The sequence below is a fragment of the Homo sapiens genome, chromosome 14, assembly GCF_000001405.40.
Source record: "Homo sapiens chromosome 14, GRCh38.p14 Primary Assembly".
In the NCBI taxonomy this organism is placed as follows: domain Eukaryota; kingdom Metazoa; phylum Chordata; class Mammalia; order Primates; family Hominidae; genus Homo; species Homo sapiens.
In genome coordinates this window covers 103,137,997-103,159,624 of record NC_000014.9, presented here as the reverse complement: position 1 = coordinate 103,159,624, position 21,628 = coordinate 103,137,997, and the positions used below count along the sequence as shown (strand labels likewise).

The 21,628-nt window shown below is 50.1% G+C and overlaps 2 pseudogenes, besides 5 other annotated features; both read right to left on the bottom strand.

Annotated features, from left to right (window-relative positions):
• Positions 2,058-2,795: an enhancer, noted in NCBI's record as "H3K4me1 hESC enhancer chr14:103623167-103623904 (GRCh37/hg19 assembly coordinates)". NCBI's record gives its function as "activates a minimal SCP1, AML or CMV promoter by ChIP-STARR-seq in naive H9 embryonic stem cells {active_cell/tissue: H9 hESC(naive)}" and the evidence as "EXISTENCE:reporter gene assay evidence [ECO:0000049][PMID:30033119]".
• Positions 2,796-3,534: an enhancer, noted in NCBI's record as "H3K4me1 hESC enhancer chr14:103622428-103623166 (GRCh37/hg19 assembly coordinates)". NCBI's record gives its function as "activates a minimal SCP1, AML or CMV promoter by ChIP-STARR-seq in naive and primed H9 embryonic stem cells {active_cell/tissue: H9 hESC(naive and primed)}" and the evidence as "EXISTENCE:reporter gene assay evidence [ECO:0000049][PMID:30033119]".
• Positions 4,259-4,553: an enhancer, noted in NCBI's record as "tiled region #1324; HepG2 Activating DNase unmatched - State 10:DNaseD". NCBI's record gives its function as "activates a minimal TATA promoter and a strong SV40 promoter by Sharpr-MPRA in HepG2 cells {active_cell/tissue: HepG2}" and the evidence as "EXISTENCE:reporter gene assay evidence [ECO:0000049][PMID:27701403]".
• Positions 10,187-11,068, bottom strand: RPL21P12 (ribosomal protein L21 pseudogene 12; annotated as a pseudogene).
• Positions 17,666-19,950, bottom strand: NDUFB4P11 (NADH:ubiquinone oxidoreductase subunit B4 pseudogene 11; annotated as a pseudogene).
• Positions 19,179-19,228: an enhancer, noted in NCBI's record as "active region_9098". NCBI's record gives its function as "activates an Ori minimal core promoter by ATAC-STARR-seq in GM12878 lymphoblastoid cells {active_cell/tissue: GM12878}" and the evidence as "EXISTENCE:reporter gene assay evidence [ECO:0000049][PMID:35858748]".
• Positions 19,259-19,308: an enhancer, noted in NCBI's record as "active region_9097". NCBI's record gives its function as "activates an Ori minimal core promoter by ATAC-STARR-seq in GM12878 lymphoblastoid cells {active_cell/tissue: GM12878}" and the evidence as "EXISTENCE:reporter gene assay evidence [ECO:0000049][PMID:35858748]".

Below are 21,628 nucleotides of genomic sequence, written 5' to 3'. Positions count from 1 at the left end.
AGATTTATTCTGAACCAAATATAAGTGACCATGGCCCATGACCCAGCCCTTGTGCCCAAGGGGACCAGGGCGTAGCCTCCGTTTTATACATTTCAGGAGACCTGAGACATCAATCAGATTCATGTAAGAAATACGTTGGTTCAGCCTAGAAAGGCGGGACGACTTCAAGTGGGGGACTTCCAAGTTATAGGTAGACTTAATTTAAAATTTTTCTGATGGCAATTGGTTGAAAGAGTTATTATCGGCCAGGTGTGGTGGCTCATGCCTGTAATCCTAGCACTTTGGGAGGCTGAGGCAGGCAGATCACGTGAGGTCAGGAATTCAAGACCAGGCTGGCCAACATGGCAAAACCCTGTCTCTACTAAAAATACAAAAATTAGCTGGGTGTGGTGGTGGGCGCCTGTAATCCCAGCTACCTGGGAGGCTGAGGCGGGAGAATCACTTGAATCCGAGAGGCGGAGGCTGCAGTGAGCTGAGATTGAGCCACTGCACTCCAGCCTGGGTGACAGTGAGACTCCATCTCAAAAAAAAAAAACGAGTTATTATCAATAGAAAGGAATGTCTGGGTTATGATAAGGGGTTGTGGAGACAAAGCTTTTATCCTGCAGATGAAGCCTCCAGGTAGCAGGCTTCAGAGAGAATAGCTTGTAAATACTTCTTATCAGGCTTAAGGTCTGTGTTGATCTTAAACACTGGTTGGCTTTTCCAGAACTCACAAAGGGAGGAGGGCATCGTGAGGCATGTCCCACCCTGCTTCCTGGCATGGTCTGAACCAGTTTTTCAGGTTAGCTTTGGAGTGCCCTGGCTGAGAGGTGGGGTCCATTCTGATGGATGGGGAGCCTCAGAATTGTATTTTTGGTTTACAAAGAGGACTTCTGATTCTGGTCAAAATGGGACAAGGACCAGGTTTACCCTCTGCTCTGAAACAACTGAAAAACCTGAGGCTGGGCGTGGCTCACATCTCTAATCCTAGCACTTTGAGGGGCCAAGTTGGCACATCACTTGAGGCCAGGAGTTCAAGACCAGCCTGGCCAACACGGCAAAACCCCATCTCTACATTAGCAGAGCACGGTGGTGTGCTCCTGTAGTCCCAGCTACACGGGAGGCTGAGGCACAAGAATTGCTTGAACCCGGCAGGTGGAGGTTGCAGTGAACCGAGATTGCACCACTGCACTTCATTGGGTAAAAGAACAAGACTCTGTCAAGACTCTGTCAAGAGCCTGGGTGACAGCACGAGACTCTCTCTCTAAAAAAAAAAAAACAACCCTGAGAAAGAGAAAAATCTACAAGACGAGCTTTCGTGACACTGAGCGTCAGGCAATGAAGGAAAACGGGAATCAAGTGGGGTGAGCCCTGAGATGCCCGGCTAGCCGCGTGGAGAGTCTCCAGGCCATGGGGTAAGGAGACGGGACCAGCCTCCTCCTGAGCGGAGCACAGCCAGCTGGGAGTCCAGGCAAGCCTAGGTGGCAGGATCCACAGGGCGGAGCAGGAGGACAGAGCGCTGCACAGAGGGAGCCGGAGGTCTGCAGAAGGTTCCCACGAGTGTTCAGCCGAGAACCGATCAGTACGTGCGTAAGGGGAACCTGCCTGAGCCTGGGGAAAGAACCACCGCAAAGGATTAGAAGTCGCAGTGTCTGGTGCTCACCCAAGGCTGGGAATAGTTGCCTGTTCCCATCAGCCAGAGTGGAAGAACTCGTGCTTCACCTGGCATTGGTAAGGGTCCTCAGAGGGGTCTCAGCTCAGGAGTAGGGAAAGTTAACCCTAGGCTTGATGCTGCTTGGGTCTCATCTAATGGAGTTCTCATGCAAGACCCAAAGGGCCAATCTTTCCAAGTAACTTGGAAAAAGTAACTCGGTGCCTTGATCTGAGGGGATCGTCCGACGGAAGCTCCAAGTTTTTAAATTTTTTTCAGAGACAGGGTCTCGCTCTGTCACCCAGGCTGGAGAGCAGTGCTGCGACTGTGGCTCACTGCAGCCTCAAGCTCCAAGGCTCAAGCGATCCTCCCACCTCGGCCTCCTGAGTAGCTGGGACCACAGGCCCATGCCACTAAACTCGTGCTTTTTAAAAAGAAGGTTATATGTTGACATGATTACAAGACTTCCCAGATTTCAAAAGTGTTTCAACCAGCACTTTGGTGAAAAACGTTGGAGTCTGTGTTTCCCTCGCACTGACTTTTTGCATTGCTTGGTGTTAGCGAGCTGCCCCGCCTCCTCTGTAGTGAGAAGTGGGTCATAAATCACCCACCCGTGGCTCAGAAGAAGTACTCAGGACCTGGGTGAAGGGGCAGGGAAGGGATGGACCCGGGAGAGGGCTTGTCCCACCACTAGGGTGAGAAAGCAGCTCCGCGGAAGGGAAACTGCGCCTCTGCAACTCCCCAGAGAGCCTCCCGCAAGGCCTGGACCTGGCTGAGTCCCCGCGTGCCCTGGGGTAGGGGCTCCCATAGCCCCCAGAGCTTCCTCTACAGCCAGTTTGTGCTGCCCACAGTGGGCCGGGGCCTCTCCCCCTGGGAAGCTGAGTGTCCCACAGTCCTGGGCAGTCCTTGGGGCCACCACCTGGCAGAGGTGCTCCCTGTAGTGGTCACAGCCTTCGCTGGAGCTGCCTGAGGCTGTCCTGCCTTTCCCAGGACTTCGCTGGGACTGCTGGCCTTTGGAGGAAGCTGGGAAGCACCTGAGCACTCGGGAGAGACTGGGCTAGTCTGGAGCTGTCTCTTGGTCCCCAGGGTGAGGGATGGGAGGGCTGAAGCTTGGTGAACAGGCTCGACCTGGACACATGTCATTGAGACAGCATCTGAAAGGGGCAGGCAGAGCCGTGACAGCCGGGACTTCCAGGGCGTTGCCACCAGCTATGGGGGAGTGTGCTGGGCCGTCCCGCTCCTGGGGAAGGATTTTCCATGTTCTCGTCTTACAGGAGAGAAAAGAGCCGACGAGAGACCCAGCCAAGTCCGTCCCAGGGGCTGTGTCACTCTGCTTGGGTATCCCAGGGGTGACCCAGCTTCTGTCCCCTGCCCAGCTGGCCCCAGTTCTGCTTCCCGGGGACTCAGACCTTCCCTCCCTTCAGTGCAAAGGGGCAGGGTAGGTCCTGGGCCCGCAAGGCCAGGCCTCAGTTTCCCCTTCCTCGTGACAGATTTGGCCCCGCCGGCCCCTCAGCCCACCTGGCTTTTGTCCTTGCAGCCTGGATGCCCTATTTCCTTGGGGACCCCAACACTGTTTTTTCTTTAAGTGAATCTAGAAAAACACATGGCCACACAGCCCTTGCCAAACAATTCCAGAACAATCCTTGGATCGCTTTGGAAAAAGTAAGCATTCCCCTTCCTCTCCCACTCTTCTGAACTCCACCCACCCATGCAGTGGGAGCGACTGAGATGCTCGCTGCTTTCAGGGGAAAGACCTGGGGGCCGAGGGCACCTGACAGAGTTGCCCCTGCCCAGGCCTGCATGGGGTGAAGCTAGGCAGGGCCCTTCACTGCAAAAATGTTTGGGCTCGGGAAGGACCCCAGGGCTCCTGCACGTATGAGGGCCAGGCTATTTGACGGAGATGGGGCCAAGGTCATGGCAACGGGAGGATGTGGGAGGGTGGACAGAGTTGGTCCTAGGACATGGGTCCTGCCCTTGAAGTTCCAGACTCTGCCCAACCCTGAGAATCAGCTGCCTTCCGGGGGGGGAGCCCCTCTGCTGACCAAGCCTGCCCTGTCCCCAAATGAGCATGGCTGCCCCCAGCCCAGGCTCCTCCTTCAGGCCTCTCTGCCCCAAACCCAGGACAAGCTGCTCATTCACCCCCAACAGGGGCAGAAACCAGGCAGTGAGGGTGACAGGATTTTACTGTGGGATCAGGGATGGTGGAACAACAGAGCAACCCAGAGGACACAGGACAAGTGAAGCCTGAGCCCAGCCTGTCTTGGGGTCCGAGCCTGTCTTGGGGTCCGAGCCTGTCCTGGGGTCCCAGCCTGTCCTGAGGTCCGAGCCTGTCCTGGGGTCCCAGCCTGTCCTGGGGTCCGAGCCTGTCCTGGGGTCCCAGCCTGTCCTGGGGTCCGAGCCTGTCCTGGGGTCCCAGCCTGTCCTGGGGTCCCGGCCTGTCCTGGGGTCCGAGCCTGTCCTGGGGTCCCGGCCTGTCCTGGGGTCCGAGCTTGTCCTGGGGTCCCGGCCTGTCCTGGGGTCCGAGCCTGTCCTGGGGTCTGAGGCTGTCCTGGGGTCCCAGCCTGTCCTGGGGTCCGAGCCTGTCCTGGGGTCCCAGCCTGTCCTGGGGGTCGCACACTGGCCCCTCCCACTGCCCCCCTTGGTGCGCTCTGTGCCTCTGCAGGCCTGGAGTCTGGACCAAAGTGCCTGACAGTGCTGGCCTTTGAAAAGGGAAGGGCCTGCCAGGCTCAGCCTCCAGGCTGCCAGGGCCCGGCCCTGACCTGGGTTGAACTCTTCATGGATGAGCTGGCAGAAGGACTGACCAACCTCGTGGGGAGATGTCCCAGCCCGGCCCTCAGGGAAGGTCCCACCCTCTGGCCTCAGCACACAACCAGCCATGTGACAGGTTCATACTCAAGAAAAATCCTAGGCACCCTTATTTAAGTAAAGCCGTAGGAATTTATTATATAGACTTTAAAAAATTTTTTTCTAGTTTTAAAAGCACTTCTTATAGAAAATGTTCAAATTAAATATCAAAATAAGAAATTTTAAATTACTCAAGCACTACAGGCATGAATATGTCTTAAATGCCTTTCCCCACTATATTTATGCAAAATACCATCTTGTTTGCAAAAATCTATACAGAGAAGACTCACCCACCATCCCACACATTTTAAAGGATTACGTGAAGTACAGATTGGATCCTGCCACCTTCCCCTTCCCCTTGAACATTTTGGTGCCAACGCATCTATATTAGCACAGCCATTCTGCACAGATACTGTTCTACAAATTTGCATTTTTCACTAATGTCATGTCACGGATGCTTTTCCAGATCAGTGGAAACAGATCTGCCTCCTTGTGTGAATGGCCACACTGCATTGTGTAGTATAACTGTTTTCCTCTTTCCTTCTTGCTGGATAGTTTGGGAGTTTCTAGTTTTCCCTACAACGAGAATCCTTGTATGAATAATGACAAAGGTTTGTCCTATTATTTCTGATAACATACATTCCCTACAAGTAGAATTATTACCTCAAAGATACTGTTCAATATCTCTTTATTAAGATACAAAATCTCTCTCTTTTTTTTTTTTTTTTTTTTTGAGAAGGTGTTTTGCTCTTATTGCCTAGACTGGGGTGCAATGGCATGATCTTGGGTCACCACAACCTCCTGGGTTCAAGCTATTCTCCTGCCTCAGCCTCCCGAGTAGCTGGGATTACAGGCGTGCGCCACCATGCCTGGCTAATTTTGTATTTTTAGTAGAGACGGGGTTTCTCCATGTTGGTCAGGCTGGTCTCGAACTCCCGGCGTCAGGTGATCCACCCACCTCGGCCTCCCAAAGTGCTGGGATTACAGGCGTGAGCCACCGCACCCAGCCTAGGATAAGAAATCTCTTTACTAAGGTAAAAACATTTCAGCAGGGATGCAAACCATCTCGTTTTTCTGAGGACTCTCCCAGGGACCTGTATGGCTTAAGAATCCAGAAATGTGATTATAACAGGGCTACTAAGGCAGCAGGTTATCAAGACAATCAAGCAGAATCCCAGGATTTGTTTGTTTGTTTGTTTGTTTTGAGACAAAATCTTGTTCTGTCTTGCCCAGGCTGGAGTGCCATGGTGTGATCTTGGCTCACTGCAGCCTCTGCCTTCCGGGTTCAAGCGATTCTCCTGTCTCAGCCTCCCGAGTAGCTGGGATTACAGGCGTCTGCCACCACACCCGGCTAATTTTGTATTTTTAGTAGAGACGGGGTTTCTCTACTAAAGGAGTTCAGGGTTTCTCAAACTCCTGACCTCAGGTGATCCACCCGCCTTGGCCTCCCAAAGTGCTGTGATTACAGGTGAGAGCCACCGCCCCCAGCCAGAATTCCAGGTTTTTATTTGAAGTTATTTTCAAAAACCATGGCCTCAGACTCTAAAGCCTTAGAAACACTGCAAGGCTCTTCTGTTTCAATAACAGTTCATGGTAATCAAGAGATTGGAAAGCTGATAACAGTTACAAAGTTTCACACAAGTTCTAATTTCCTATAGGAAAACAAGATTTATACTCTTGTAAATGGTCTTAATTCCACACCTTATCCAATCAAATTCTGTGATCAACCTTTATCATTTGGAATATCTCTCCTCCACGGTTTCAGGGGAAAGGAGAAATCTTTAACCCTCTCTTAGATTTTTTTTTGTTAATGCACATTTTCATTTTTAAGGAGAGGATCTGAAAATTCATTAGTTACCTGAGAAGCAAAAAGCAAACCCATGGAATTCGGTTTTACCCAGTCAAAAATGAAATGCATTAATAGGATCTTAGTTATAACAGCTGAAGGACGAGCAATATAATTTTTCTTCCGCAAAGAACAGAAACACTTTTCAAATGAATAGTTCAAAAGTTAATTCCATATGCCAATTCATTCTTTCACAGATAGGGAGCTGGCTTCCTTACAAGTTGCCAGGACTAGAGGCAATTACCTTGCTTGGTTTTTTGTTGTTGTTGTTTTTTGAGATGGAGTTTCGCTCTGTCGCCCAAGCTGGAGTGCAGCGGCACGAACTCCGCTCACTGCAAGCTCCGCCTCCCGGGTTCACGCCATTTTCCTGACTCAGCCTCCCGAGTAGCTGGGACTACAAGCACCCGCCACCACGCCCGGCTAATTTTTTGTACTTTTAGTAGAGACGGGGTTTCACCGTGTTAGGCAGGATGGTCTCGATCTCCTGATCTCGTGATCCGCCCACCTTGGCCTCCCAAAGTGCTGGGATTACAGGCGTGAGCCACCGTGCCCGGCCACCCTGTTTGTTTATTTTTTTGACAATCTGATGGGACCAAAAAACTAATGTTTTATGATTTTTAAACAACTTTATTGAGATATAACTGACATGCAATAAACTGCACATATGTAAAGTATGTGTTTAATTAATTTGCACATGTGTATATACTTGCGAAAGTATCACAACAATCAGCATAATGAGCATATCCACCACCACCAAAGGATTCACCATGCGCCTGGGTGACCCATCCCTCTCATCCTTCCCTGCTCCCCCACCTCCAGCTACCATCTGATCTTAGTTGAATAGTTAATATTTATAATGGCGGCCGCCAGGCCATCTCACTCACGGCTTTGGGGGCATCATTTTGCACAGCCCCTGTGGAGGGTGATTTGGGCTCATGGATCAGGCTGACAAATGCAGGAACCTGTCAGCCAGCCATTCCCCTTCCAAGAATGTATCTTATTCATTCTCTAACAGCTATGCAAAGTGGCCGGGTGCAGTGGCTCACTCCTGTAATCCCAGCACTTTGGGAGGCCAAGGCAGGCGGATCACTTAAGGCCAGGAGTTCGTTCGAGACCAGCCTGGCCAACATGGTGAAACCCGGTCTCTACTAAAAATACAAAAATTAGCCGGGCATGGTGGCAGGTGCCTGTAGTCCGAGCTACTCAAGAGGCTGAGGCAGGAGAATCACTTGAACCCAGAGGGCGGAGGTTGCAGTGAGCTGAGATTGCACCATTGCACTCCAGCCTAGGCTACAGAGCGAGACTCCAACTCAAAACAAACAAACAAAAAACAAAACAAACAAACAAACAAAAACACAAAACTCACACACAGAAAAAACCCATAAACTGACTTCAGTCCCGGGCTAAGTCATTTCAATTGTAGTAGCAAAATACTGGAAACTCCCTAAATGCCCAGGAGCAGACACCAGGGAAAGGATTGCAGTGCACCCAAACAATGGAGTACTGTCAGCTGCTTTCAAAAACAAAAAAAAGAGAGACAGAAAGAAAAACAGGAATTGCTCCAAGATGCCATGTGGAGACGAAGCCCATGGGCAGAGCGGGGTGCCAGCATGCTTTGTCCCTGTGTAGGATCCGCCAGAGCCGTGACCTGGCCTCGTCTGTCTCTCCCTTTCCAACCCCTATCCCAGGCGAAGGAGAACTCACCTGACTGGCAGATGGGTGAAGGTATTAAGCCCATTTCTCTGTGCTTTAACTTGTTACATTTATTCAGTGTTTCTCCTTCTTATGTCTCCAAGGGGGGAAGCACTGCTGCCCACATCTGCGTTAAATCATCTGTCTGTCGCTGGTGGTGCTCACATAGCCGAGGGCTGCAGATGACAGCCACATTCTTCACAGTGGCTTTTTCAGGAATGACGATTATATTTGATCTTCGCCTGCCTGCCTCTCTCAGGTTGTGCCTCGGTAGGTCATTTGTTGGCACCCCTAACAAACAATTGATTGCATACCAGCAGTTTATACGCATCTTATACGTGCCATTAGACAGGGTACATGTGTCTTATGCAGACGTGACACAGTGCATATATGAATGTATAATCCCCCAAATGACAGGATTGTTCACCCAGAAAATCAGAGACTAAACCAAAAGCCTCTTAGAACAAATATCACAATCTGGAAAGGTCACTGATTATAATACAAATATGAAAAACTCAGTAGGTTTACATTTTACACTGAGGACCTAGTTAGATAATTTTTAGGGGGAAAGGGTCTGATTCACAATATTGCCTAAAACTATGAAAAACCTGGTAATATGTTTTAAAAGAATTGTTCAAGACCTACATAGTAACAACTCAATACAGAACATTCAAAACTAAAACTCAAGAAGGACCAGAGACACGGGTAGAGGCGAAAGGGGCTGCCTGGGGTGGTGGTGGCAGGGGGCGCAGGATGGACATTGTAATATAAGTTCTAGAGCTGTTATTTGATTTTTGAAACTATGTTGATGTACTACTCTGGCAAAAACGTAAATCAAAAATTTAAAATTCACAGAAAAAAACAAATTTGTGAGAAGTGACAATTTGAAACCTTGGAATTAATTTTTTTTTTTTTTTGAGATGGAGTCTTACCTGTCACCCAGGCTAGAGCGCAATGGCGCAATCTCGGCTCACTGCAACCTCTGCCTCCCAGGTTCAAACGATTCTCCTGCCTCAGCCTCCCGAATGGCTGGGATTACAGGCACTCGCCACCACACCCAGCTAATTTTTGTATTTTTAGTAGAGATGGGTTTCACCAGGTTGGCCAGGCTGGTCTCAAACTCCTGACCTCGTGATCCACCCGCCTCAGCCTCGCCAAGTGCTGGGATTACAGGCGTGCCCAGCCGGAATTAATTTTTTTAAAATAAGCTATCAAATGCCTTCTGTAAAGTTTGTTCTAGGTTACAGTCCCACCAACGGTGAATTCGTGTGTTAAATTTCAGCACTGCACTTGCACAGCCTTGGAGTGAGGGTCTCCTTAGCAGTAACATATAGGCCTGGCATGGTGGCTCATACCTGTAATCCCAGTGCTTTGGGAGGCCGAAACAGGAGGATTGTTTGAGGCCAGGAGTTTGAGACCAGCCAGGGCCATATGGCAAGACCCCATTTCTACAATAATTTTTTTAATTAGCTGGACAATGAGGCACAGGCCTGTAGCCCTAGCTACAGGCGGGAGGGAGCTTTGAGGAGGGAGGATTGTTGAGCCCAGGAGTCCGCAGTTACAGTGAACTATGATTGCATCACTGCACTCCAGCCTGGGAAACAGAGTGAGACTGTCTCAAAAAAAAGAAAAAAGAAAAAAAAATAGTAAGGCATCTTGGGCACAGAATGTAGTGCAGGCTCAGCTCTGGCATCATCCTGACATCCTTCCATTTTGTGCCCTGGTACCTCACTAGCTTCCCTCTCATCCTGGCCTTGACTGCATCTCTGGGCAATTGCAGAGATTAATGCCACCACTAAAGGCTTGAAAGAAGCAGAGATGTGGCTATCTATTACATTCCCATGCCGTAGAACCCACCAGCTCAACCCATGCAAATGCTGGACAAACCTTGGAGAATGACTGTGACCTGTAATAAACGTGATCAGGTGGTTGACTGCACTCGCGGCTGCTGTCCCAGACGTAGCACTTTTACTGGTGCAAATCCACCTGGCCCCTGGCACTTGGTATGCAGCTATTGGCCTAGCTAATGTCTTATTTTCCATACTAATTTGCAAAAACAATTTGCTTTTACCTGTCAGGGCCAACAGTACACCTTCGTGTCTTAACTACATGAATCCTGGCTTCTGCTATAATATAGTCCACAGGTATCTTTGTTATCTTTTTTTTTTTACAGTCCAGAGGTCTTTTATTTTATTAACACCTATTATGCCATGAATTCACAGGGAATAGGTTCCAGCAGCTCGGGCTCCTTCCTGTTGGTTCTCACAAAGTGTGCATCTTTGGGTGGAGCAGCCTGGAGCTTAGTTGAACCCAGGTACCTTTCTCTTTTTTTTGTTTTTTTTTTTTTTTTTTTTTTGAGATGGAGTTTCACTCTTGTTGCCCAGGCTGGAGTGCAATGGCGTGATCTCAGCTCACTGCAACCTCCGCCTCCCAGGTTCAAGTGATTCTCCTGCCTCAGCCTCCCAAGTAGATGGGATTACAGGTGCGTGCCATCATGCCTGGCTAATTTTTTGTATTTTTAGTAGAGACGAGTTTTCACCATGTTGGTCAGGCTGGTCTCGAACTCCTGACCTCAGATGATCCACCCGCCTCAGCCTCCCAAAGTGCTGGGATTACAGGCGTGAGCCACAGTGCCCGGCCCAGGTACCTTTCTCTGTGGCCTCTTTCTTTTTCTGATCATTTTCCTTCACGCGTCTCAGGAAGCTGTCTCGGCTCTTAGAGTGCTTCATGTGCTCAATACGCACATTAGTTCTCTTGGCAGGAATCTTGCCCTTAGCTTGTTTGTCTACAGCAATGCCAACAGCATGCTGGGGAACATCGTAGACTCTTCCAGCTTTGCCATGGTGACACTTGTGCGGCTTCCTTTTTGAACAGTTCCCATTCCCTTGATGTCTACAGTATCACCTTTCTTATACATTCGCATGTACGTGGCCAAAGGAAAAATTCCATGTTTTCCACAAGGCCTGGAGAACATACATCGGGTGCCTCTCCTCTTTCCCTTTGTGTTCGTCATTTTGGCGAATTACTGGAAAACGGCGGTTCCGGCTGAAAGGGCTTTGTTATCTTTTATTTTTGTATTTAAGTAAGCTTTATTGTTTGTATCTTATACTTCAAAAAAAGCTCAGATAAATATTTAATTTGTATGAGTCACCTGGGGATTGTACAATTGCAGACTCTGATCTAGTAGGTCTGAGGAAGGCATTCTTTTTACTGATTGATTGATTGATTGATTGATTGATTGAGACAGGGTCTCACTCTGCCACCCAGGCTGGAGTGCAGTGGCACCATCTCAGCTCACTGCAGCCTCCACTTCCCAGGCTCAAGTGATCCTCCCATTTCAGCCTCCCAAGTAGCTGGGACTACAGGTACACACCACCATGCTGGCTAATTTTTTGTAGAGATGAGATCTCACTGTGTTTCCCAGGCTGGTCTCGAACTCCTGGACTTAACCAACCTGCCTGCCTTGGTCTAACAAGGTGCTGAGATTACAGGTGTGAGCCACTGCACCCAGCTGAGGCAGGCATTCTGACTTTCTAAAACCTTTCCCGGCAGTACCCATGCTGCTAGTATCTTAACCATTCTTACAGTATCAAGATCCTAACACACTGCTTTCTAAAATGTAGTCAAACAACATGAAAATCCTTTATTTTAATCCATGCTTCAGTTCCTTTTTTCCTTTATACTTTGTATTTATTTATTAAATTGTGGTGAAACATACATAACATAAAACTCACGATTTTCACCATTTTTAGGTCTACACTTCAGTGGCATTCAGCACACTCACATTGTCGTGCAACCATCATCACCATCCATCTTCAGAATTCCTTTCACCTTGCAAAACTGGAGCTCTGCACCCATCATACAATAAATCCCCATTGTCCCCAACCCTTGGCAACCCCCATTCTACTTTCCATCTCTATGAATTGATCTTTATTTATTTATTTAGAGACGGAGTCTCATTCTATCACCCAGGCTGGAGTGCAGTGGCGGGATCTTGGCTCACTACAGCCTCCGCCTCCTGGGTTCAAGCGATTCTCCTGTCTCAGCCTCCCAAGTAGCTGGGATTACAGGCGTGGGCCACCATACCTGGCTAATTTTTGTATTTTAGTAGAGACAGGGTTTCACCATGTTGGCCAGGCTGTTCTCGAACTCCTGATCTCAAGTGATCTGCCCGCCTTGGCCTCCCAAAGTGCTGGGATTACAGGCGTGAGCCACTGCGCCTGGCCAAATTGATCTTTATTATTTAACATTCCACACACCACTACACTGGCCCCCTGCATTGGTGATATAAAGCTGATTGGATCTGATAAGAAATAGCACATCCTCTAGAAGCTTTAATAAAACATATGTCAGCTAGAAGATGGGGGATAAATCCCCCCAAATTTGAGACCTGTGATTTCTAAGCTTCTTGGGGGTTATTTGGGCTGGAGAATTTTGAAATATTCACTCTAAGGTGAAGGCAAGTTGCTACACCTCCCACTACCTACTATGAAGAAAGAGGCAAATGCTTGGAAGGGCTTTTGGGGGTCTCACTATGTTGCCCAGGTTGATCTCAAACTTCTGGCCTCAACCAATCCTTGTGCCTAAGCCTCCCAAAGTGTTGGGATTACAGGTGTCAGCCACCAGGCTGGCCCAACACATTTTAGTGTGTTACCATGACCCATCTCCCGAGTGCCCCATAAGGCAGCCAGTTTCCATAAGAGGCTGAGCAAGAGGAGGTTCTGCAGGCCTGGGCTGCTCTATGCGTACAAGCCTCTGTGCCGCCCAGCCCTGTGAGCCACTGCTGCTCAACATATCCATGACAAGCGCCAATGGGAAAATTGCAGTCCGGACCTCTAGAATTGTGGAGCAATTCTGTGCTCTCTTCTGTAGATAACTAGTTTCCTTCTGAGAAACTGCTTCTCGCTTTCTACTGGGATTCGAGTCTGAACGCCCACCCCTGTGTCATTAGGTGATCATTCAGCCTAGTTCCCATTAGGGGCCGGGCATGGTTGGACCCACCCAGCCACCAGGCGTGGGATCTGCAGCGGTGGCCTCTCAGTCCATGTACGCAGTAGAGGCAAGCTGGGGTGGGTCCAGACGGCATGGGAACTTCACAGGGAAGGCAGGTGGCCCAGACTCCCTCAGCACCTACCCCTGCTGCCCTGTCTCCCTTCCCCATCCATGCCTCCAGCCTCCCCGGGTACTCCTCACACCCAGTTGGCTGAGGAAGAAACTCGAGCCTGGTGACAGAGGGCTCGGCATGCTATGCCAGTTCCCACAAAAGTAGACATGAGTACTACAGCTCCACCGGCCGAGCCCCGGTAGCGAAGGAACCCTCCCTAGGCGCACAGTTTGAGCCATTCACTCGGCTGTCCACTACATGCAGACAGAGAGATGCCCAGAGGTACAAATCCGTGCCCACTTAGAAACAGCTGCTAACAGTTTGGTTGGATGTTCGGGGACCTGGAAGAAAAGGATTGGAAGTTTGGTAACAAGGATGTCTGAGGAAGAAGTATGCGGTCAGCCTCTCGAGATGGACACAGACTACAGGAACATTTGCGCATCATATAAATGCTCAGCAAAGGGTGTCCCCTTCAGAAGAGGCTGAATCAGGTAAAAGAAGGAAGTTCTGTGAAGTCATCAGCCAGACCCTGTGTGTTTCCTAGGAATGCTGCAACAAAGTGCCGCAAGCTGCGGGTGCTTAGGCCCTAAAAACGTGCCATCTCCCAGTTCTGGAAGTTAGAAGTCTGGGGTCAAGGTGTCAGCAGAATTGCCTCCTTCTGAGGAAGTGAGGGAGACTCCATCCCAGCCCGTCTCCCAGCTGTGGGAGTTTTCTGTCAATCTCTGGCCTTTCTTGGCTTGTAGAAGTGTTACTGGAAAGGGGCCCCAATGCAGACCCCAAGAGAGCGTTCTCAGATCTCACACGAGACAGAATTAGAGGCAATTCCACAGTGCAAAGTGAAAGCAAGTTTGTTTTATTCTATGTATTTTATCTTTTGAGATGGGGTCTCACTCTGTCACCCAGGCTGGAGTGCAGTGGCGTGATCTTGGCTCAATGCAACCTCCACCTCCCAGGCTCAGGTGATCCTCCCACCTCCGCTGAAACTACAGGTGCACACCACCATGCTTGGCTAATTTTTTAAATTTTTCACAGAGACAGGGTTTCACCATGTTGCCCAGGCTGGTCTCAAACTCCTGGACTCACGCGATCTGCCCGCCTCGACCTTCCAAAGTGCTGGGACTACAGGTGTGAGCCACCACACCTAGCTGCAGGTTTATTAAGAGAGTAAAGGAATGAAAGAATAGCTACTCCTGGATGGGCATGGTGGCTCATGCCTGTAATCCCAGCATGTTGGGAGGCTAAGGCAGGAGGACTGCTTGAGCCCAGGAGTTTGAGACTACCCTGGACAACATAGTAAGACCCTGTCTCTATAAAATATATATATATATTTTGGCCAGGCCCAGTGGCTCACGCCTGTTTTATATTTATATATATATATATAAAACATAAAATATAAAATATATATTTTATATTTATATATATAAAACATAAAATATAAAATATATATATTTTATATTTATATATATAAAACATAAAATATAAAATATATATTATATATATATATATTTTTGACAAGGACCAGTGGCTCACGCCTGTAATCCCAACACTTTGGGAAACCAAGGCAGACAGATCACCTGAGGTCAGGAGTTCAAGACCAGCCTGGTCAACATGGTGAAACCCCATCTCTACTAAAAATACAAAAATTAGCCGGGTGTGGTGGTGTGTGCCTGTAATCCCAGCTACTCGGGAGGCGGAGGCACAAGAATTGCTTGAACCTGGGAGGCAAAGGTTGCAGTGAGTCAGGATTGTGCCACTGCACTCAAGCCTGAGCAACAGAGTGAGACTCTGTCTTAAAATATATATATATATAATTTGTATCCTGTAAATATATATATACAAATATGTGGCTGACTGCCACGGTTACTACTTGAGATCATCCCCACAACAATTACTACTTTTACTACTTGAGACCGTCATTACAAGACTGAACGAAGAGACAAACGTAGAAATGAAAACTGAAGACAAAAGAAACTGTTTGAAAGGAACTGTCCAGGGAAGGATGAAGAGAGCTCCCTGCTTCTAGTGGACAAAGGCAGCCCCTGAGCTTCCATAGCCCTTCATATTTATTGGGTAGCAAGAGCAGGGAGGAGGAGGTAATGACTGGTCGGCTGCTAATTGATAACAGGTTCATGTTATTACTAACAGGCTTCAGATGTACCTAATCTCAAGAAACACTGCGTTTGGGGAGTGACTGCCCTCAGCATCCCTTCTGGGTGGCAGACACAGTTTGTCAGTTTGCCAACATTCCGCATTTATGAGAAACAGTTTGCTGTTTACTCATAGAGCCTCCAGTGGTATACTGAACTGATCACCACCCTCATTCTTTCGGCCTGTAACACAAATATATATACAAAAGATACATACATATATATATTATCCTGTAAAATAGAGCCCCCAAAATATATACATATATTTTTTAAGAAAAAAAAAAAAAAGAATGACTATAGACAGAGAAGGGCATTCCTTAAAGTAAAAGGAGGACCAAGCCCAGCCTAAGTACAATGCCTGTTTAAGATACGAAAATCATAGGAGATGTGCTTTACTACAAGGGTTTGTGATAGAGGATTAATCTTTGTAATTACCATCTTTCACAAGAATCGATATTATCTTTAAAACAAAACGTCTTAAACTAGGAATGCTTGCGTTCTCAAGATATTGGGACATCAGGACATTCCAGGTCTGTTAGTAAACATTATTAATCTGCTCCCTCAACCGTAAACTCTTGCGACTAACAATGCCTAAGTTCCTGGGAATGTAGCCCAGCAGGCCCCAGCCTCATTTTTCCCAGCCCCTATTCAAGATGGAGTCACTCTGGTTCGAATGCCTCTGACAGGAGCAGCACCCTGATCTGTCTCCATCCTCACACTGCATTCTCCCTGTGTCTGTCTCCAAATTTCCCCTTTTTAGGACACCAGTCGTATTGGATTAGAGCCACCCAATGACCTCATTCTAACTTGATTACCTCTGTGAACACTCTAGCTCCAAGTAGGGCCACATTGGGAGTTACGATTTTAAGATGAATTTGGGGGGACACAATTCCCTAGCCACACCAGCGCTTTTTCAATGAACCCACAAACAATGTATTTATGGTGACCAAGATGGAGGCTACGCATGGGCCCAGCAACACGGGCTCATCTCTCCAGGCTGGTCTGACTAATCTCACTGCTGGCAGCCCCCTCTCACAACCCCAGAGAGCAGCACTGAGTGCCTGATGGCACCTTCCCCCACAGAGAGCAGCCAGCATCTGGTAGCAGGTGGGTCCTGGTCTCTTCCATCATGGAGGGGACACAGACTCACCTTCCTGGAAGGGACACACTTTGCCTCCCTTACCCAGAGTGTTTCTGCAGCACTGCTGCTTGTAGCCTCACGTGATGCCTTTCACCATCATGGCTTCCATGCAGGGCTGCTTCTGACCAAGGAACCCATTTCACCACCAAGGAAATGCCACAGTGGCTCGTGGCCGTGGAATTCACTGATCTTACTGCTTATTCTATCACCCAGAAGGAGCTAGCCTCAGCAAAAGACTGAGTGGCAATACCCAGGAAAGATGGACTCTATTTTACAGGATTCCATATACGCTTTGAATCAGGGGCCACCACATGGTTCTACTTCCCTTATAGCCAAAATGCATGGCTCCAGAAACCAAGCTGTCACAGGTAGTGACTAACTAGGACCAGTGGCGCATGCAATAAAGGAATTTACCAAGAGAGTTGTAGGTAAAGACAGGCAGGCTTATTAGAGAACACAGGAAAATACATTGCAAGAAAGCAATGGGCAGATCAGCAAAAGGGGAGCTGACTACAAGGAGACAAAGACTTGTGGGGGATTTTATAGGATGGTGCTTGTGCTGGAGAGGGCCACGCGCAGTGCTGATAATGCCCAGGTTGCAGCGAGCTAACTGACACTTGTCTATCGGCTGAGGATCTGGCGATAAGATGGGCACAGGAAGATTGTGAGTTATTTGCTTAGGAGGGCTCTGTGTGTCCTGGGCCATGTAGAAAGGCAGGCTTATAGCTTATCTGTTTTTTGTTTGTTTGTTTTGCTTTCCCTGCTCCCCCCAGCCTGACTCCTCTTCCCCGATTAGAACTCCATGCAACCAGTTGATATGAGGGGGATCCACTTACTATTACCCCCAATAACAACCAGCTGGCAGGATTTTTGCTTCCTGTCGCAGCAACTTTGAGCTCTGCTAATGTGAAGGTCTTAGTCCCGGAGAGGAACATCCTTCAACCAGGAGACACAGCAATGGTTTCATTAAATTGAAAGATGATGCCGCCACCTGGCCATCTGGGGCTCATTCTGTCATGACACCAAAAGACCTAAAAAATGATTGCTCTCTTGACTGCAGTGATAGGTTCTGATTCTCCTGGGAGACCAGGCAGCTGCTACTATGTCTGGAAATCAGGGCATTCATTCTCTGCGGCACTTCTGACTATTTCCATGGCCAATAGAAAAGGTTCATGGAAAACTACCCCAGCCATAGAAAGGCAGGAAAATTGAGGACTCAGAACCTTCTGAAATGAAAGTTTTAGTTGTTTCATCAAGTAAAGATCACCAACTAGCTGAGGTCCCGGCTGAGGGAGGGGAAAATCCAGGATGAGTGATGGGAGAAGGAACCATGGACTTCAAGCCTCGGCTCCCAACTGTCACGGAAGCAAGGAGTGTAGTAGTTTTGCTTAGTTTCCTTTGCTTGTTTTCACGTGTTTGTTTCCACATGCCAACCATTTTCCTGTTTTCTCTCGCTGGCATCTGTATTGTACACACAATTTTTTGGAGGTTAGTGTTACCATTCAGTCTTCAGGTAACAAGATATTCAGTGGACTGTGGTTGAATTTGTGGTGTAATTAACAGAGCCAACAGTGGCTACAGTAACCATTGGCACCTTGTCCTCACTGTCTCCTCATTTTGGAGACAGCGTGAGTGCATCTTCACTTGTGGGAAGGATACATGTATTGCATTTACTGGAATTTTTAGAAAAGGTTAAACGTGTGTAAAAGGGTGCATATGGAAAGCAACTGCCTGCTATCCATCTACTGCCTCTGACCCAAGCCCATCTTTCACTGCCCTACTTGGGGATTCTGGAACTTTTCCCTCTCTCCTGCTGGCACGGTGCTGTGCACTGTCAGTAGAGGGCGCTGGAGAGACAAACAAGGAGGGAGGGGGGTTTCTTTTCACTTGTTTATTGGCTGCTCACCTGCACAGCCTCCCAGGACGGCTTCCCCCGCCTTGCATAAGTAGCTTTGCAGCAAGTTCTGAGGCACAGCACCTGGCTGTGCATGGCTTACCTGGCATCTCAGGAGGCTGCGGGGTCTCACTGCAGGGATGGTGGGGGCATGCATGGGGGGCATGCATGGGGGGCTGAGGGGCTGCAAGGCAGCACAGGGTCAGAGGATGGGAGTTCTGGGGGCGACCAGGGACTGCTGGGTATAGCAGCAGTCAGTATGGGTATCGCCCATCGGTATGACTTCTCCCTGGCAAGCCCCTCCCACGGCTCAGCTATCATCCTCCATAGTGATCGCCTGACAAAACCAGAGTCTTGGTTAAACTCAGCCCTGTGATTACAGTCTGCACCTCAGCGCTGAACTTGGCTTCACGCCAAGTCACAGGTTGCTGATGAACCCACTTCAAAGAGGCGCTGGACATGGCTGGTTGAGCCTACCCCTGAGACACTAAAGTATTTTCCTCCTCTCTCCTCCCATCTCCAGCAACACCACTTTCATTTTCTCAGTTAAATGTTCAGTTATAAAATGCTAATAATATAACACATTCACATGCCTCATAATGAAAATTTACAAGCTATACGGCCAAATACCTCCTTCCTAACTTCTGTCCCCATCCAACCCTGTTCACCTCTCTCTCTCTCTCTCTCTCTCTCTCTCAGACACACACACACACACCACAAACTCTGCTCTGCACTGTGCTTTTTTCCACTTAACGTTATGTGTCCTGAATGTCAACATGAGAACAGAGAGAACTTCCTCATTCTTTTTCACCGCCACATAGTACTCCATTGTTTGGGTGCACTGCAGTGATTTCCCTGGTGTCTGCCGATGGGCATTTAGGGAGTTTCCAGTATGTTGCTACTGTAACTGAAGTGACTAGTCTGGCACTCAAGTTGCTTTGCATAGCTGGTAGAGCATGGATAAGGTACATTCCTGGAAGGAGAATGGCTGCCTCACAGGTTCCTGCATTTGTCAGCCTGACCCGGAAGCCCAAATCACCCTCCACAGGGGCTGTGCAAAATGATGCCCCCAAAGCAGTGAGCGAGAGAGAGGGCCTGGCGGCCGGCAGCCTCGCACACAAAGTGTTGTCACTCACCGGGGTATTGGTCACTCTAATGAACCACATGCCCATTCTGCAGACATCTCAAACTTTAAAAAAAAAAAAGATTAATAGAAGATTTATTTAGCAAAAATACATATAGCCATTATTGCAAGACTTAAATGAGATGTTAAATGTTCAACCCAATTTTCTTTCCTGGATAAGTTTTTCTTTCATATCCCTGTCAGTTTTGAAAACATAATACCAGAAGAAGGGGGGCCCAATTCCACAGAGAGCTCCCAAGAGTGAGTTTCTGGGAGTGAGTCTGAAGTTGAGATAAACCTTTGCTGATCTTGCTTACGTTCAATGCATCTGGGCAGCGTCTTTGATGAGCCCTGGCGGTTAGGCTGGTGGCACTGAAGCAGGCCTCCAGGGTCTCCTGTTTAAGCAGGATTTTAAGGCCAACCCTGCGGCTTGCGCCTGCTGGGTTTCTGGAGATGTGTCATATTCGGCTGGGTTGAGGGTCCAGGGCAGAGTGGCCAGGCATGAGAGAAAATACTTTGGGTCAACACCTGTGAAAAGAAGGAAAAAATAAAAATAAAAAAAACACCAGAAGAATACTTTGGGAACAACATCGTGGTGACACAGGGCACAACTGCGAGTGCGGAGGGACCTCTCCCCCTGAACTTGACCAAGCGCTTCCTCAGCCCTTTCTCCCCTCCCAGGCCCTCCCTGTCCCTGGAAGCAGCCTGGTTCCCTCCCGGTCTCTTAGAAGCCCCTGGGCTGCTCTTTCCCTCAGCCCACCGAGAGCTCGCTCCATCTCACTGCACGAGGGGGCCCTCGCTGCCGCCCTCATCTCTCCCCTGGGGACCCCAGCGCCCCCGAAGGGCAGAGGGGTCTTTCCAAGCCATAAATCCCATGAGTTGAAACTCGCGTCTCCAGCCCCTTCCAGCCCCGCTCCCCAGCTGGAAGGAGCCCACTTACCGGCCCCCTCCTTCCTCCTGCGGAGTCTCCTGTCCAGGATCCCTTTTCCCCAGTCCTGCCGTCTTTCTTTGCCTGAAACCTGGAATTCCTCCCCGTTCCCGCCCGCCGGCCTCCGCAACCTCCTCCCTCCCCCGCAGCGCCCAGCCCGGGTCTGCTCCAGGCACCTCCTCAAGACCGGGCCTCCAGCGACTGTCCCTTTGAGCCGCCCTTTCACCCGCAGGCACCCCCGGCCCGTCCCCGCGCCTGCACTCAAGCTGCTTGTTTGCTTGCTCCTGGCTCCTGCAGGGAGCGTCAGCCCCCGGGCTGCTTCCCACTGCTGGAGGCCGGGGGCGCCCGGTGTTCCGCGGGGGCTGCGGCCTCCCCGCTCCACCCCTGCTCACAGGAGCCTGGGCAGCCCGGGGCCCGTCCTTGCACAAAGGCACCAGGCCTGGCCCAGGCCCCGCTCCGCCCGCCCTGTCCCCGCGCTGGGGGACTCGCTCCCCTCCGCCGGGCAGATCCTCCTCTCCGGGGGATTTTCCTGGAGAAGTTACTGGTGCAGATCCAACAGCTGGCGGGACAGTGACCCGGAAGGCCCCCGCCCCGAAAAGCAGGAACAGCAGGAACCTCCAAGGCGCCGCCCGCACCCTCTTCCTCCTCGCCTGGGGCCTCGCGCCCGGAGCCCGCCCCTCTGCCAGGGGTGGACGCAGCCCGGGGAGGGGGGTCCACCTGGCCCCAGGTCCCGCCGCGCTCCGACGACTCGGCCCGCCCTGGCCGCCGCGAGGCTGGGGGTCACTTTGGGACCTAAGTCCGCCCCCGTGGGAGAATGTGTGCCAGGGCCCACTGACAGCTTCCATCGGGGCTCAGGCGCCATCTCTCCCCACGTTTGCCCAGGGTCAGGGGGCCATGCAGGGGAGAGTCGCGCTGCCCCCACTTCCCCCTGACCCTGTGCTCCGAGGAGAGGAACGGGAACTCGCCCGCCCAAGGCCCACGCTCCCCACGTGGCTCAACCAGGCCAGGACCTCGCAGCCACATGGACCGGCGGGTCCAGGAGCCGGGCAGAGGGTCTCCGTGCCAAGCCGCACTGCCCCTGGCCCTCGTCTCCCTCCTTTCTCTCACTGCACGGTGGCCTCATGCCATCCGCTTTGGCCCCAAGAATGGAACTCAGGAGAAAGGGCCTGCCCTCCCCCACCCCCAGCTCCGGGCTGTCCCAGGCCCTGCTGAAGCCCACACCCCTCTTCAGGTGCACACGGCTCCCCTTGGGGCCCTCCCCGGCCTCTGTGCAACG